We start from the raw sequence: 17,786 nt of genomic DNA, 5'->3' as shown, positions 1-17,786 counted from the left end.
AAGACTTTGGGGGACTGTTGGGAAGACATGATTGGTTTTGAAATGTGAGAAGAACATGAGATTTGGGAGTGGTCAGGGGCAAAATGGTTTGGCTCTATGCCCCTGCTCAAATCTCATGTTGAATTGTAATTCCCAATGTTGGGTGGGACCTGGTGGGTGGTGATTAGATCTCGGAGGCTGATTTCCCCCTTACTGTTCTCTGGAGAATGAGTGATTTCTCATGAAATCTGGAAGTGTGTCACACTTCCCCTTTGGCTCTCTGTCCTGCCCCGCCTTGGTAGGACATATTTGCTTCCCCTTTGCTTTCTGCCATGATTGGAAGTTTCCTGAGGTCTCCCAGCCATACTTGCTATAGAGGCTGAGGAACAGAACTGTGAGTCAACTTGAGTCAATTAAATCTCTTTTCTTCATTAATTACCCAATCTCAGGTAGTTCTTTGTAGCAGTGTGAGAATGGACTAATACAGGCACAGACACTTCTGAAGAGCAATCTGGTACAACAGAGGCAATGTGTATCTGTCACTTAGATAGGTAGGTAAAATGTGGTAAATTCAAACTATAGGATATTATATATCAAATAGATCCAACAGGTTTGAGGTACACATATCAACATAAAATGTTCTTAAAAACTTAATGCTTAATAAAAAATTGTGAAAGCAAAGTCATATCTTAAGCAATTAAATAGATATGTTTGATATAATAGACTTTTCATAAAAACACATAAAATAGAAGGATGGTCCATGGTGGTCCATGGGGAGAAGGACGAAAGTGGGATAGGAGGAAAAAGAGAATGAATTATTCAATTAACTTAACAGAATACAGTCCTTTTCAGACCAGTCCTCATAAACTAAAATGAGCTAAGCAGTATGATTAATTCTATCATCAATGGTAGGAATATAAACAACATTATAACAAAATTTTAAAATACAAAAAAGGAAATAAGTTTTTAAAATCTGGAGTCTTATCACCCAGAAGCACTACTAATCTTTTTTTTATAATAAAAGCATTACATTTAAAAGTCTATATATTATTTTAATATAACTCAAAAATGCTCACAATGAAGGACACAGTTAATGAAGTGAACTGACTTAAAATTAAGAATTCTTATTCATCAAAACACTACTAAAATTTTAAGTGTAATCTGCATAATAGGTGAAGTTACTTTTAATACAAATATTGAACACGGGTTTGTGTCTAGAATATATACAATTCAGTAAAAGAAAATATGGAAATGATTTTAAAAGGAATCTTATAGGGAGATACAGAAATGCCTATAAACACATGTAAAGTGCACATATTGTATGCACATGTAAATTGTGTACACATGTAAACTGCAAATTATACATGTAAAGTGTGCACATGGTAGCTTATATTTACAATGCTTCTCATTGGCATTACTCATCAAATAAATGCAAATATAAGCTACAATGATATATAAAAATATAGCTTTAGAGAGAAAATACATAAAAAAATAAGAATTACAACATCAATAAGAAAAATGAAACAGATACTAATAAAATAGAACCCCATTCTCTTTATTTTTTATTTTGTTGAGATAGAGTTTTCCTCTTGTTGCCCAGGCTGGAGTGCAATGGTGCAGTCTTGGCTCACCGCAACCTCTGCTTCCTGGGTTCAAGTGATTCTCCTGCCTCAGCCTCCCGAGTAGCTGGGATTACAGGCATGCACCACCATGCCCGTCTAATTTTTTGTATTTTTAGTAGAGATGGGGTTCCTCCATATTGGTCAGGCTGGTCTCGAATCCCCCATCTCAGGTGATACGCCCTCCTTGGCATCCCAAAGTGCTTGGATTACAGGCATGAGACACTGTGCCTGGCCAGAATCCCATTCTCTACTGGTGGAAATAAAAATGTATATAAACACTTTGGAAACTTGTTTTATAATATCTACTAACATTCAAAATACACATACCATTTTGTCCAGCAATTTTATTCCTATGTATACATTCAACAGATATATGTACTTATATTTATAAGATAAATGCATAAGAATGTTCATAGTAGCTTTATTAATTAGAACTCCAGGCTGGGCCTGGTGGCTCATGTCTGTAATCTCAGCATTTGGGAGGCCAAGGCGGGCAGATCACTTGAGCCCAGGAGTTCAAGACCAGCCTGGGAAACATGGCAACACCCCATCTCTACCAAAAATACAAAAAATTAGCTGGGTGTGATGGCAGACGCCTGTGGTCCCAGCTACTTGGGAGGCTGAGGTGGGAGGTTTGCTTGACCCTGGAAGGCAGAGGTTGCAGTGAGCTGAGATCATGCCACTGCAGTCCAGCCTGGGTGACAGAGTGAGACCCCATCTCCAAAAGAAAAAAAAAAATCCTGAATTATAAATATCAAAATTATCCATCAAGAGTAGAATGAATAAATAAATTATGGTATATTCATACAGTTGAATGCTAAACAATAAAGAATTTTCTGCTACATGAGCCAATATAAGTGAATCTGACCTAGTTCTGAGCTAAATAAATCATTTAAGTAAAGTTAAAATACAGGAAAAATAAGTAAAGTAAATAAATACATGTTAATAGAAGTCAAAATACTGTTCGCCTTTTGGTGAGATGACTGAGAAGTGTATAAAGATACTTTCTAAAGTTTAGGTGACATTCTTGAGTTGGGTACAGATGCACTTAGAGTGTGAAAATTCTTTGGGCAATGCATTTATTATTTTTACTTTTTTTCTGTATCACAAAACCCAGTAAAATTGTTTCAGTGTAGGGGAGTTAAAATCTTCAATAATAATTGTACATTCATCTCTGTCTCCTTGGTCATGTCTACTTTGCTTCATCCATTTTGAAGTTACATCATTAGGGGCATGACCTTTAGAACTCAGGTCCCTCTAGAGAACAAGATTTACCTTTATGTAATATTGCTTGGTATCTCTCATAACAATATTTAGAACAATTTGTTTGATATAAATATGTTCACACCATAAAATTGTGGTTAGTATTTGGTGGTTGTGTTTTCTATTTCAATGCCTTTACTTTTAATCCATGTGTGTCTATTTAAAGTGTAACTCTCCTGGACATCTTAGAGTTGGATCTTTTTTGTTTTGTTTCACTCCAAATAACAATCTCTGGTATTGCTTAGACTGAATAGTCTATTTACATTTAATGTACTTGCTGAATTGTTTGGGATTAATTCTCTCATTTATTATTGATTTTCTTCCTATTCATGTGTAATTTATTTTGATATAGTTTTACCACTTTATTGAAAATAAATCCTTACAACCATGCATATACCTATGCATATACACATGCACATACACACATACACACACACACACACACGCACAAACACACACACACATAGTTAAGCTGGCAGGTGTTGAGGTAATCAATTAAGACAAGCCAAACTGAAAAGGCTGTTATTTTCTTATGACAACAGGGCAGGCAAGAAGCAGAGGGGAAAGTACCACACTTTGGCGTTCCATATTTTGCCATGGAACAGCACCAGGTGAAGGTCAGATGACAAGGAGCACAGATTGAGGGAATCACGTCAAAGTGGAGGAGCTCCTAGAAAAAAAACCTGCTGCCATTTTATGGACCTGGGCTCCCACAAGGAAAGAGCTGGAGAAGGGCCTGGAGTGGAAAAATACTGAGTCAAAGTGGGGAAAACTCTATCAGTTAGGGCCTGACTGGTAAAGAGATCTCAAAGGAGGTGCCTGGAAATTGCCTTAGCTGAGGCCCCTAATCAGGAAGCCTTCAAACAGAGGCACAGGGCTAGGAATGCAGATATGCATATGTACATGGTTTTGGGAGTGAGCTAGGGGGTAAGTCTTTGACTGTATGTCCCTCAGAAAGTTACAGTGCACTGACTATGTGCCATATCTTATACAGGCAGGCAGCTTCCCACATGAGGCTTGATGAGCAAAGCACTGTAATTGCCTAGGGTTGACCTAAAAACAAATCACATATAGAAGTTTTGGCCTGGAGGCAGACTCTTCATGTACATTTTATATATATATATATATATATATATATATATATATATATATATAAAATATACCCCATGATACAGTAATGTTACTATGTTTTGTTAAATTTTAACTTTTAGTTAGGTTTAGGAGGTACATATGCAGGTTTGCTACCTGGATATACTGTATGATGCTGAGGTTTAGGGTACAGATAATTCCATCACCCAGGTAGTGAGCATAGTACCCAATAGGTAGTTTTTCAGCCCTTGCCCACTTCTCTCTCTCACCAACAGTAGTTCCCAGTGTCTATTGTTCCATCTTTCTGTCCACGTGTACCCAATGTTTAGCTTCCACTTATAAGTAAGAAAATGCAGTATTTGGTTTTCTATTCCGGCACTAATTCACTTTAGATAATGGCCTTCTGTTGCATCCATGTTCTGCAAAGGATGAAATTTCATTCTTTTTTATGGTTGTAAAATATTCCATGGTGTATGTGTACCACATTTTCTTTATGCAATCCACTGTCGATGGAAGCCTAGGTTGAGCCTACATCTCTGCTATGGTGTATAGTGCTGCAGTGAACATACAAGTGCTTATGTCCTTTTGATAGAACAATTTATTTTCCTTTAAATATTTACCCAGTAATTGGATTGCCGGATCAAATGGTAGTTCCGTTTTAAATTCTTAGAGAAATCTCCAAACTGCTTTTCACATTGGCTGAAATAATTTACATTCACAACAATAGTGTGTAAGGGTTTCCTTTTCTCCACAACCTAGCCAGCATCTGTTAATTTTTGACTTTTTAGTAATAGCCACTCTAAATTACCTGGTATGGTTTCTTACTGTTGTTTTGATTTGCATGTCTCTGGAAATGCAAATTAGGAATGTTGAGCATTTTTTTTCATATGTTTGTTGATTGCTTGTATATTTTCTTTTGAGAAGTATCTGTTCATGTCCTCTGTCCACTTTTTAATAGGGTTATTTGTTTTTCACTTGTTGAATTATTTAAGAGCCTTACAGATTCTGGATATTAGACGTTTGTTGAATGCATAGATTGCGAATATTTTTTCCCATTCTGTAGGTTGTCTCTTTACTCTGTTGATAGCTATGTTTGCTCTGTAGAAGCTCTTTAGCCTAATTAGGTTAATTCTTGTTTTACTTGCAACTGCTTTTGTGGACTTTTAGTATATCAACAGTCTTTTCAAATGGTTTCTTAAATTTAAAAATACAGTTTTTTACATATGCTTATATATCCATCATTTCTTTTCCCTTTCATTCTCTCCTGTAGATCCATGTTTTGATCTGGGATCCTTTTAATTTATTTTGAAAGATTTTTTTAAATTTCTTAGTGTTTTTTGTAATGTGCTCCCACTGGTGAAGAATTGTCAGCCTTTCATTTTTAGAAATTAAAAAAAAAGATTTCTTTATTTTTAAAAGAGTTTTGTTGTGCATGAAATTCTAGGTAAACTTTTATATTCTGTCTGTTTTTTTAAGGCATTATTTTATATTTTTCCAATTTTATGATGTCTGGCATAAATCACTGTTATTTTTCTTCTGAATGTAATGTGTCTTTGTTTTTCTCTAATTTTTTTTCTTTTCCCTCTAGTTTTTAGCATTATGTCAACAATATATTCTTATTTGATTTTATTATTTTTATTTTTAAGTTTTCTTAATTTCTCAAATTACAAGAAATTCTCCCTCTTCTCTTTATCAACTCATTATGTTACCTCATTAAATCTTTCTCAACTTTTATAACTTCAGTTTATATTTTTGTTAGGATTTTGATATGGTCCATAGTTTCTTCACCAGTCTTTTCTGTTATTTGATGTTTCTCCTATTTTTTACTTTGGTAATTTCTATTACCTGTCGTATGTTCACTGTTTCTTTTTTTCTCTGTCCTGTATTTTATTAAATCAATTTCTGATACTATATTTTTCAGTTCTAGAATGTTATTTTGTGTCTTTATTAGAAATTCTATTTATTTGCTAAAATCTTTGTACTTTTCATCATTTTGTCCATTTTTTCTTCTAATTTTTTAAATATATTTATAACTGTTATTTTAAAGGCCAGATGCGATTTCCAACATCTGTATCTACTTCTTATGACTATTTTTCTCTTGATTATGGCCAATTTTAATTATTCTTCACATATCTGATATATATTTCATGGTGACTATTTTTGATTAAAGAATCAAAGAGATTCAGATAAATATTATTTTCTTCAGAGGGAAAAAGTCCCTTTCTCTGTTCATCAGATAGTAAAAGAGGCTAATCATTTAAATTTAATTGGGAATTCTGCTAGATTGAACTATGTTGCAATTAAATTAGTTTAAGTTTACCTCTGCTTTAAAATTCTTGGGGTCAAGTTATGCACTATGTATATTATAGAAGTCTTCCTCTAGCATAATTCTTATATATAAAATTGTAATAACATGGAGTTTCTCTCTCTCTCTCTCTCTCTCTCTCTGTCTCTCCCTCTCCCCCTCTGTCCCTCCCTCCCTCCCATTTGTAGAACAGATCCCAGCCTGTCATACTACTACCATCACTATATTCAGCAAAAGTCCCATGAGAAGTCTTGGCAGGTAGGTAAAATAGCCTTCTTCGAACACAAGAAACCAGTCCACCAGGCCAGCCCACATAGCTTTAAAACCTCTACTGATTTTGCTTACTCACAGCAGTCTCCTTTTCTATGGCAGATCCAATCCTTCAGTTCCATGATCCAACAAATGCTTCTGGTGATTTAATCAGTACTCATTTAGGAAGGGCTCATTCTTAACTTATTTGCTTCACATATCTTTTTATAGATTGATTTTGTGTTTATGAAATACATATGTAGTTTGTTGTTGTTTGTTGCTGCTGTTGCTGTTTTTAAGTTTCTTGGTTATTCTCCAGTTATGAGCAAAGGAACAGCTGTGTGTTGTAAATTTCTACATCTTAAACAAAAGTGAAACTTTCAGTTATGACATTCCAAACAGCATTGTAGATTATTTAATTTCTAGTTTGGATATATTGACTCTCAGCATTCTTTCTTGTTTTGTTATAATTTTAATATATTTTTTAAAATGTATGGTTCCAGCATAGATGAAAGTGTCTTTTTATTTTATTTCATTTTGTTCTGTTTACTGGATTTTGAGAGAACAATTGCTTATATTTTACAGATTTTCCTGGAAATATGAACAGCTCTGTTTGTAGTTATTCATAACTTTCATTATCTTATCTATATTTATTTTAAGGCCCTAAATAGGTTATATTCTCTATTGGCATGAGTTTTTTTAATCACAAAAATTGCACCTCATAGCCCTAGACTGACCAAAAGTGAGTCACTGTGTCCACCTAAAACAGTAGCAATTAAAATTCCTTCAGTAATGGAAATGTTTATATTCATGATGAACGATATGGTAGCCAAAAGCCGCAAGAGACTATTGAGAACTTGAGAATGTCTACTGCAGAGTCAGAATTACATTTTAATTTTAATTAATTTAAATTTAATACAAATAACTATATGTGACTAGTGGCTATCTTATTGGACAGAACAGATTTAATACTTAGACCTCCCTAGAAAGTATATTAAGATTTGTATTTGTATTGATTTGTAAATCTATTACATTGTTTGCCAGAGGCAATTACTTGCCACCTGTGTTCTAACCAAGCTTGCCCATATTTCACATGTTGAGTTTGTTCATTTTAACTGTCAATTGGCCTAATTTTCCCATTTCTAGCATTTTAATTTCTCCAGAGCTTGCATACTACATTGAACACCAATTCAGTGACCTGGAACAATTCCACTCGCATTTGTTCCTTTTAGACCATTTCACTGGGAGTATGTTTCCAATCCACTTATATATAGATTCTCATCCTCTTCCCAAAGTGTTACTGTGAATCCACTTCCCAGCCCAGGACCACGGTATTACATTTAACCTGTTCTAAACTCTAGTCCCATATAGAAACTCTTTATATATTGATTGGTTTCAGACACCTTTTTAGATAGAGAATATGGGTTATAGTTTGTTCTTGTAATCGACCACTTACTATTCCTATGGAATCCTAATATTTTTTCTCATTCCAGTTACTCCTGTTAAATTCAAATTTCATCATGATTCACTGTGACTTCTTCTTGATTATTGAAACTGGGCACTAGGCTAGCATTTACTGCAGTAGTTTTGATTGATAGATGTGAAATCAGAAAGAACAAAGAATAAGGTAAACTATTAAGTACTACAGAGTTTTGATGAATGAATTGGTTACTTTTAATAGGAGAAAAACATTATTGCGGTGCCAATATTGAACTTGGGAAAAACACATTTATTAAAATTATAATTTTTTCTCAATTTTCCTATTTTAGGCTTGAATATTTAATGTCTTTTATTTGCTTTTTTATCAAAAGATTGCTAATTTAAAGTTTGACAATAACCATTTCTACTACCTGCTACGCTGGTTGCATAAATTTCCTTTTTCAAGAGTACAGTTCAACCACTAATATCTAAAGTATCTATTCAGTTAATATTAATTATGCATACCTTTAAATTTCACTAGAAAAAAGAAATCTTTATAGATATTCTGAACTCAGTTCATTAAAAAAAGTAATTACTCTAATAATGCTTCGAGTTTATTCTCTTTTATAAGTGAATAAAATTAGGACTGAATTATTTATTTTAAAAGAATGATTTATGGAGCTTTAAAGACACACATATAATTTTAAAGGATTTCATTCTTCAGCTTTTGAAAGATGTTCCATTTTGGTTCAACATTTCAGATCTGCAATTTTGACACTAAAAGCACGAGAACTTTATTAATCTCAACTATAGACTTCAGTTTCCAAAGGAGTATTTCATCAACTCAAAGCCAAGATCATTAAAAAAAAAATTGGAAATTTTACCTGGAATTAAAAAGAATTAATTTATTTGTAAATGTCTTACAAAAGATACAATAAATATCTGAAGCTAATTTTAGGCACATACTTTCAGCCACTTCAAATGCATGGTTTTCTAATGCCACTAAGCTGAAACAACATATAGGTTATATTTTTAGGCAACCTAAAATTTTTGAATGATAAAAAGCATCAAATATAAGTGGAAAGTATAAATAACAAATTTTCTGTCAATGCAGAAGGTGTTACTCTCTCTTAATAATAGTAAGAAATGTAATGGGAGAACAGTAATTCAAAGATACACAGGAAAAATTTACACATGAACTATAGATTTGGAGAAATAATGCCTGTTCATTTACATGATATCAACTTTCATACTTTGAGATACTCATGAGATACTTTGAGATATTCATGAGATTTTTTTTTAACACGAAAATAAAGTCTTTATAATAAACCAGATAATTGAATTTAAAAACCTCATGTCTTCAGTTCTGTGAATATATTTTTTATTTAAAGGTTTGGATATCCAAGTCAAAAATCTCTATCTCATAGATATGTATAAACACAGTAATGAAAATAAAAGTAAGTTTATTCAGTGTTAGTGGATGATTTTACAGTGAACATCTGGCTGAGAGAAAAGTGCAACCCTAAAAGCCCTGTGATTATATACTCTTTATTGATTAAAAAGTAGTGTTACTATCTCAAGGAACTCACCTGAAAAGCCATTCTCAAAATCATAACCTCAAAACGATAGTATGTAATAGGCAGTGTACAATTTAGACAGTCTTTCAAAACACTCATTCTATTTTGAGAGAAAAAGTAAAACTTGTAAAGAAAAATGGGGTTTGGGAGAAGTGTTTACCTATAAAAATGGTAAATTAAATATATTAGAATGGGACTGGGCAAGAAGGCCAACTAGATGCAGCAAGGTGGAACAGCTGCCACCAAGGGACCCAGATGATTAGTGCACTCCTAAAAGATCTTCAGAGGGAAAGCACTGAGAGTGTCCAGAGGGAAGACACAGAAGCTGGGCTAAAGGAGGAGGAAGCTCAGAACCTTGCATGGGCTACAGCAGCGGGACTCCTTCCTGGACCCCAGTGACTCCGGGGGAATAGATGAGTTGAACTGGCAAGGAACAACCTGCTCTCACCATGGCCCTCTGGAATCCTGACAGGAGAAGACCCCTTGACCACCATAGAGACTTGAGCTGGCAGGGAGAGCTGCTTAGAGAGGTGGTAGGGACCGCACACCAGCTGGTGTGGAGCCCAGAGGGTTTGATGCAGGAGCATCTGTTGTGGAGTATGGCCAGGGACACCCAACCCTCTGGGCTCCACTTGCTCCCATAGGAGACTTTAGCTCTAGAGGAACTGTTGGACCTGAACTCTGCAGGGTGGTCTTGCCCTTTAGATGGAGATAGTTCAACCTGACCTCTCCAGGGGCCCCAGCCTGGCCACAGCTACTTGTAGTGCAGCTTCAGGTGACCTGGGGACCTGTATCATAGCTACTACCCTGGGGACAACACCTGACTGACAAAGAGTTTCAGTGGGGCAGGCCCCACGGCCATGTGCCAGCCCACCAGCTCCCTCCCCCACCTTCAACTTCTCTGGGGCTCACGGCCACCCTCCACATCACTTTGAGAGTGTGTATGTGGGCAGGCAGATCTTAGTTTCCCTGCCCCGCCAGTGCACATGTATGCATGCATGCTGCCCTGCCATTGCTGCTGGTGGGAGTGCACTCCAAGCTCTCCCCACCCCCAATACCCCCACCATACTGCCATTGTAGTCAGAGCCTTGGTGGACACAGAGCCCATAAGCCCCACTCCCAGCAGTGGCCCACCCCTGTGCCAACACTTCTGCCAGAGTGAAACTAGGTACAGACAATAGCAGACCCTGCTGCGCTGCACCTGCTGCTGACACATGCAAATGATGATGGATCCCACTGCCACTGCCCTGTGAAATGCTTCAGCTGGTGCCACCCTTCAGAGTGCTGGGACCAATGGTTACAGAACATCTCAGGGCCACCCCCTGCCCCCCAGCTTAAGGAGTTCCTAACTTTGAGAAGCCAGAGAACAAACTCAGGGCCTGATACCAGTGTCCCAGAGTTAGAATATGCAGTCTAGAAGTTGTGAGCTGAGACTTGGCCCCCTAAAATCTTCCAGAAATAAAACCAGTTGACTGAACCCACCTTATATACAACATTCAAACCCTCAAGGGTTTGATTTATCCTATCAAATAGTATTTAAAAACCCCCAAAATCCATCCAAAGGACAGCTACTTCAAAGATTGAAGAACATCAGCACACAAAGATGAGAAAGAAACCAGCACAAGAACTCTTGACAACTCAAAAAGCCAGAGCACCTTCTTTCCTCTAAATGAGGACACTAGCTCTCCAGCAAGTGTTCTAAACCAGGCTGAAATGGCTGAAATTACAGAAACAGAATTCAGGATACGGATAGCAATGAAGATCATTGAGATGCAGAAGAACAGTGAAATCCAATCCAAGAAAGCTAAGAATCACAATAAAATGATACAGGAGCTGACAGGCAAAATAGCGAGTATAGAAAAGAATAAAACTGACCTGATAGAGCTAAAAAACAAACTACAAGAATTTCATAATGCAATCACAAGTATTAATAGCAGAATAGACCAAGCTAGAGAAAGAATCTCAGAGCTTGATGACTGACTTCCTGAAATAAGACAGAGAAGAATAGAGAAAAAAGAATGAAAAGGAATGAAAAAAAAAAAACACTGAGAAATATGGGATTATGTAAAAAGACCAAATCTACAACTCATTGATGTCCCTAAAAGAGATGAGAAGAATGAAAGCAACTTGGAAAATATATTTCGGGATATCACTCGTGAGAACTTCCTCAACCTAGTTAGAGAGGCCAATATTCAAATTCAGGAAATGCAGAGAACCTTCATAAGATACTTCACGAGAAGATCATCCCCAATATGTATAATCATCAGATTCTCCAAGGTGGAAATGAAAGAAAAAATGTTACAGGCAGCCAGACAGAAAGGTCAGGTCACGTACAAAGGGAAGCCCATCAGACTAACAGTGGACTTGTCAGCAGAAACCCTGCAAGCCAGAAGAGATTGAGAGAAAATATTCAACATCCTTAAAGAAAAGAAATCCCAAACAAAAATTTTATATCCAGCCAAACTAAGCTTCATAAGCAAAGGAAAAATGAAATCCTTTCAGACATGCAAATGCTGAGAGAATTTGTTATGACCAAATGTGCCTTAGAAGAGCTCCTAAAGGAAGCACTAAATCTGGAAAGGAAAGACTGTTACCAGCCACTACAAAAACACAGTTAAACACATATACCGGAGACACTATAAAGCAACAACAGAAACAAGTCAGCATAATAACACAAAATCTACCAAGAAAATGGGAAACAGAGGAAAGCAGGGGGTTGCAATCCTAATTTCAGACAAAACAGACTTCAAACCAACAAAGATCAAAAAAGACAAAGAAGGACATTACATAATGGTAAAGGGTTCAATTCAACAAGAAAATCTAACTATGCTAAATATATACACATGCAATACAAGAGCACAAAGATTAATAGAGCAAGTTTGTAGAGGCTTTCAATGAGACTTAGACTCCCACCCAATGGTAATGGGAGACTTCGATATCCCACTCTCACAGTATTAGACAGATCATCAAGGCAGAAAATTAACAAAGACATTCAGAACCAGAACTCAGTGCTGGATCAAATAAACATAATACATATCTACAGAAATCTCCACCTGAAAACAACAAATATATGTTTTTCTCATTGCCACATGGCATATGCTCTAAAATCCACCACACAATCGTACATAAAACAATCCTCAGAAAATGCAAAAAAAGAAAAAGTGATATTGAACCACAGCAAAATACAATTACAAATCAAGGCTAAGAAAATCACTCAAAACCACACAATTACAAGAAAATTAAACAACTTGCTCCTTAAAGACTTTTGGGAAAATAATGAAATTAAGGCAGAAATCAAGAAGCCCTTTGAAAGTAATGGGAAAAAAAGATACAACATATCAGAATCTCTGAGACACAGCTAAAGCAGTGTTAGGAGGCAAATTTATAGCACTAAATGCCCACCTCAAAAATTTAGAAAGATCTCAACATAACAACCTAACATCTCAAACTAAAAGAACAAGAGAACCAAGAGTAAATCATCCTGAACGCTAGCGGAAGACAAGAAATAAGCAAAATAAGGGCTGAACTGAAGGAGATTGAGACACAAAAACCATTCAAAAGATCAACAAACCCAGAAGTTGTTTTTTGTTTGGAAAATTTAATAAACTAGATAGACTGCTAGCTAGAGTAGTATAAAAGAAAAGAGAGAAGATCCAAATTAACACAATTAGAAATAACAAAGGGATATTATCACTGAGTCCTCAGAAATACAAATAACAATCACAAAATATTGTAAATACCTCTACTCACACAAACTGGAAAATGGATAAATTCCTGGACATACACACTCCCTAGAATGAACCAGGAGGAAATTGAATTGCTGAACATACCAATAATGAACTCTGAAATTAAAACAGTAATAAACAGTCTACCAATAAAAAAAAAAATCCCAGGACCAGACAGATTCACAGCTGAATTCTACCAGATGTACAAATAATAATCAATACCATTCCTACCAAAACTATTACAAAAAATTGAGAAGACCTCCTCCCTAGCTCAGAATGAGTTATTCTGAGTATTCTATGAGTTATTCTATGAGTATTCTAAGAGGCCAGCATCATCCTGATACCAAAATCTGTCAGAGATACAACAAAGAAGGAAAACTTCAGGCCAATAGCCTTGATGAACATTGATGCCAAAATCCACAAGAAAATACTTGCAAACTGAATCCAATAGCACATCAAAAATTTATCCACCACAATCAAGTAGGCTTTATCCGTGGGATGCGAGGTTGGTTAAACATATGCAAATCAATAAATATGATTCATCACGTAAACAGAACTAAAAACAAAAAAACACATGGGTATCTCAGTAGATGCAGAAAAAGTATTTTGATAAAACTCATCACCACTTTATGTTAAAAAACTCTCAAAAAACTAGGTATTGAAGGAACATACCTCAAAATAATAAGACCCATTTATAAAAATCCCACAGCTAACATCATACACAATGGGAAAAAGCTGGAAGCATTCCACCTGAAAATTGGAACAAGACAAAGATTCTCTCTCTCACCACTCCAATTCAACATAAAATTGGAGGTCCTGGCTGAAGAAATCAAAGAGAAAGAAATAAAGGGCATCTAAATAGGAAGAGAGAAAGTCAAAATATCCGTGTTTGCAGACAACATGACTCTACATCTAATAAAACCCATAGTCTTGCCCCAGAAGCTCCTTAAGCTGATAAACAACTTCACCAAAGTCCCAGATTACAAAATCAATGAATAAAAATTATGAGCATTCCTATATACCAACAAAAGTCATGCCAAGAGCCAAATTAGGAACACAATTCTATTCACAGTTGCAACAAAAAGAATAAAATGCCTAGGAATACAACAAACCAGGGAGATGAAAGATCTGTACAATGAGAACTACAAAACAGTATTCAAATAAACCATAAATGACACAAACAAATGGAAAAACATTCCATACTCATAGATAGGAAGCACAAATATGGTAAAAATGGCTATACTGCCCAAAGCAATTTATAGATTCAATGCTATTCTTATCAAACTAGTAATGACATTCTTCACAGAACTAAAAAAAAACAAAAAAAGCCAAAAAAACCCTATTTTAAAATTCGTATAAAAACGTTTCAAGAAGCCTAAATAGCCAAGGCAATGCTAAGCAGAAAGAACAAACCTGGAGGCATCACATTACCAGTCTTCAAACTATCCTATAGGGCTACACTCACCAAAACAGCATGGTACTGGTACAAAAATAGTCATATAGACCAAAGGAACAGAATAGAGAGTCTAGAAATAAGACCACACACTTATGAACATGTGATGTTTGACAAAGCTGACAAAAACAAGCAATGGGGAAAGAACTCCTGTATCAGTCTGTTTTCACACTGCTATAAAGAACTGCTGGAGACTGGGTAATTTATAAAGGAAAGAAGTTTAATTGACTCACAGTTCCACATGGCTGGGGAGGCCTCCTGAAACTTATAATCATGGTGGAAGGCAAAGGAGAAGCAAGTACCTTCTTCACAAGGTAGCAGGAAAGAGAGAGAGCCAAGGGGGGAAAGCCCATTATACTTTTTTTTAACTTTTTATTTATTTATTTATTTATTTTGAGATTGAGTCTTGCTCTGTCACCCAGGCTGGAGTGCAGTGGCATGATCCTGCCTCACTGCAACCTCCACCTCCAAGGTTCAAGCAATTCCCCTGACTCAGCCTCCCATGTAGCTGGGATTACAGATGCACTCCACTATGTCCAGCTCACTTTTTTGTGTGTATTTTTAGTAGAGACGGGGTTTCACCATGTTGGCCAGGCTGGTCTCAAACTCCTGACCTCAGGTGATCTGCCAGCCTCAGCCTCCCAAAGTTCTGGGATTACAGGCATAAGCCACCACACCCGGCGGGAAAAGCCCCTTTAAAACCATCAGATCTTGTAAGAACTCTCACTATCACAAGAACAGCATGGGGGAAACTGCCCCCATGATCCAATCACCTTCCACCAGTTCCCTCCCTCGACATGTGGGGATTACGGGGATTACAATTCAAGATGTGATTTGGGTGGGGACACAGACCCAAACCATATAAACTCCCTATTCAATAAATAATGCTGGAATAACTGGCTAGAAATATGCAAAAGTTTGATACTGGACCCCTTCCTTACACCATACACAAATATCAACTCAAGATGGATTAAAGACTTAAATGTAAACCCCAAAACTATAAAAACTCTGGAAGACATCTAAGCAATACCATTCTAGACATAGAAAGTGGCAAAGATTTCACGACAAAAACACCAAAAGCAATTGCAATGAAAGCAAAAGTTGACAAATGGAATCTAATTAAACTAAAGAGCTTCTGCAAAACAAAAGAAACTATCAACAGTGTTAACAGACAATGTACACAATGGGATAATTTTGCAAACTATTCATCTGACAAAGGTCATTAGACAAAGGTCTAATGACAAAGGTCATTAGATATTAATCTGGTATCTATAAAGAACTTAAATTTACACACAAAACAATTCGTCCAAGGACATAAATAGACACTGTTCAAAAGATGACCTACATGCCGCCAAGAAGCATATGAAGAAAAAGCTCAACATCACTGATTATCGGAGAAATGCAAATCAAGACCAAGACCACAATGAGATACCATCTCACACCAATTATAATGGTTATTTAATTTAATTTAATTTAATTTAATTTTATTCTATTTTATTTTATTTTTGAGACTGAGTCTCGCTCTGTCACCCAGGCTGGAGTGCAGTGGTGCGATCTCAGCTCACTGCAAGCTCCGTCTCCCGGGTTCACGCCATTCTCCTGCCTCAGCCTCCCCGGTAGCTGGGACTACAGGCATCTGCCACTGTGCCCGGCTAAATTTTGCATTTTTAGTAGAGACGGGGTTTCACCATGGTCTCGATCTCCTGACCTCGTGATCCGCCTGCCTCGGCCTCCCAAAGTGCTGGGATTACAGGTGTGAGCTACTGTGCCTGGCCAGTTATAATGGTTATTATTAAAAAGTAAAAAAACAAAAACAATAAAACCAAAAACAGATACGGGAGAGATTGTCGAAAAAAAGAAACAATTATGCACTATTGGGAGTGTAAATTAGTTCAACCACTGTGGAAAGTGGTGATTCCTCAAAGAGCTAAACTCCCAGCAATCCCATTATTGAGTATATACCCAAATGAATATAAATCGTTCTATCATAAAAACACATGCACATATATGTTCATTGCAGCACTATCCACAATAGCAATTACATGGAATCAACCTAAATGCTCATCAGTGGTAGACGTGATTTAAAAAATGTGGTACATATACACTATGGAATACTAGGCTGTCATAAAAAAGGAATGAGATCATGTTCTTTGTAGGAGCATGGATGGAGCTGGAGATCATTATCCTTAGAAAACTAATGTTGAAACAGGAAAACAAATACTACAGGGTCTCACTTATAAGTGGGAGCTAAATGGTGAGAACACATGGGCACATAAATGGGAGCAACAGACACCATAGTCTACCAGCAGATGGAGGTTGGGAGATAGAAGAGGATCAGGAAAAATAACTAATGGGTACTAGGCTTAATAACTGGGTGATGAAATAATCTGTACATCAAACCCCAGTGAAATGAGTTTACCTATCTAAGAAACCTGCACAAATACCTCTGAACCTAAAATAAAAGTTAAAATAAATAAATAAAAATATTAGATACATTATATGAAAATATAAAGATGTGTATGCTCTTATAATTCAAAAATTCTTTAGTAATACTTAAATTTTTAATAGAAAATTTGTATTATAACACATATATTACATATAAAATGTTATAGTAAGTATTATTTAGCAAAATCCACATATTATGAAAGACTTATGAAATAATAAGCAAAGGCCAAGATATTTTAGCATAAAACATTCATTTATTTATGTATCAGAATTGAGCATCTGCTGTAGACAAATTACTTGACTAAATACTCTGGGCTTTTCCAGATAAGAATAACTTGATATTGCTCTTTAGTTTACAATGAAGAAGTCTCTTCCTCAGGCAACAAAGTTCAGTTCTAAAACTTGCTCAAATACAGACACCTGGCAAGGGATTGTGACACTCCATCACCACTGCCATCTTACTGCCACTGTCAGTTCAACAGTACATCTGCTTTTCTCAGGAGCCAGATAAGTAAATTAATGGGATTATTCTGAAACACATGAATCCTATATCCTTTAATTCTCTGATAACAGTTTTGAGAATAGTATTTGAATTTATCTGCATGTAGTTTCAGGGTCTTCTCTGTGGTCTTCACAATTATCATGGCTTTTATGATGGTT

At 36.0% G+C, this 17,786-nt stretch overlaps 1 long non-coding RNA gene across 2 annotated transcripts in view; it reads left to right on the top strand.

Moving 5' to 3' along the window:
• LOC105373777 (uncharacterized) overlaps window positions 1-8,127 on the top strand; it is a 63,555-nt gene extending 55,428 nt beyond the window's left edge. For both annotated transcript variants that reach the window (XR_923654.2, XR_923653.2), the window contains exons 3-4: window positions 6,447-6,516; window positions 8,001-8,127. This is a non-coding gene — a long non-coding RNA (uncharacterized LOC105373777). The remainder of the gene's footprint in view (window positions 1-6,446; window positions 6,517-8,000) is intronic.
• Window positions 8,128-17,786: the final 9,659 nt, after the last annotated feature.

This window comes from Homo sapiens, chromosome 2 (assembly GCF_000001405.40).
Source record: "Homo sapiens chromosome 2, GRCh38.p14 Primary Assembly".
NCBI classification, from domain to species: Eukaryota; Metazoa; Chordata; class Mammalia; order Primates; family Hominidae; genus Homo; species Homo sapiens.
This window is presented reverse-complemented; position numbering and strand designations above follow the sequence as displayed.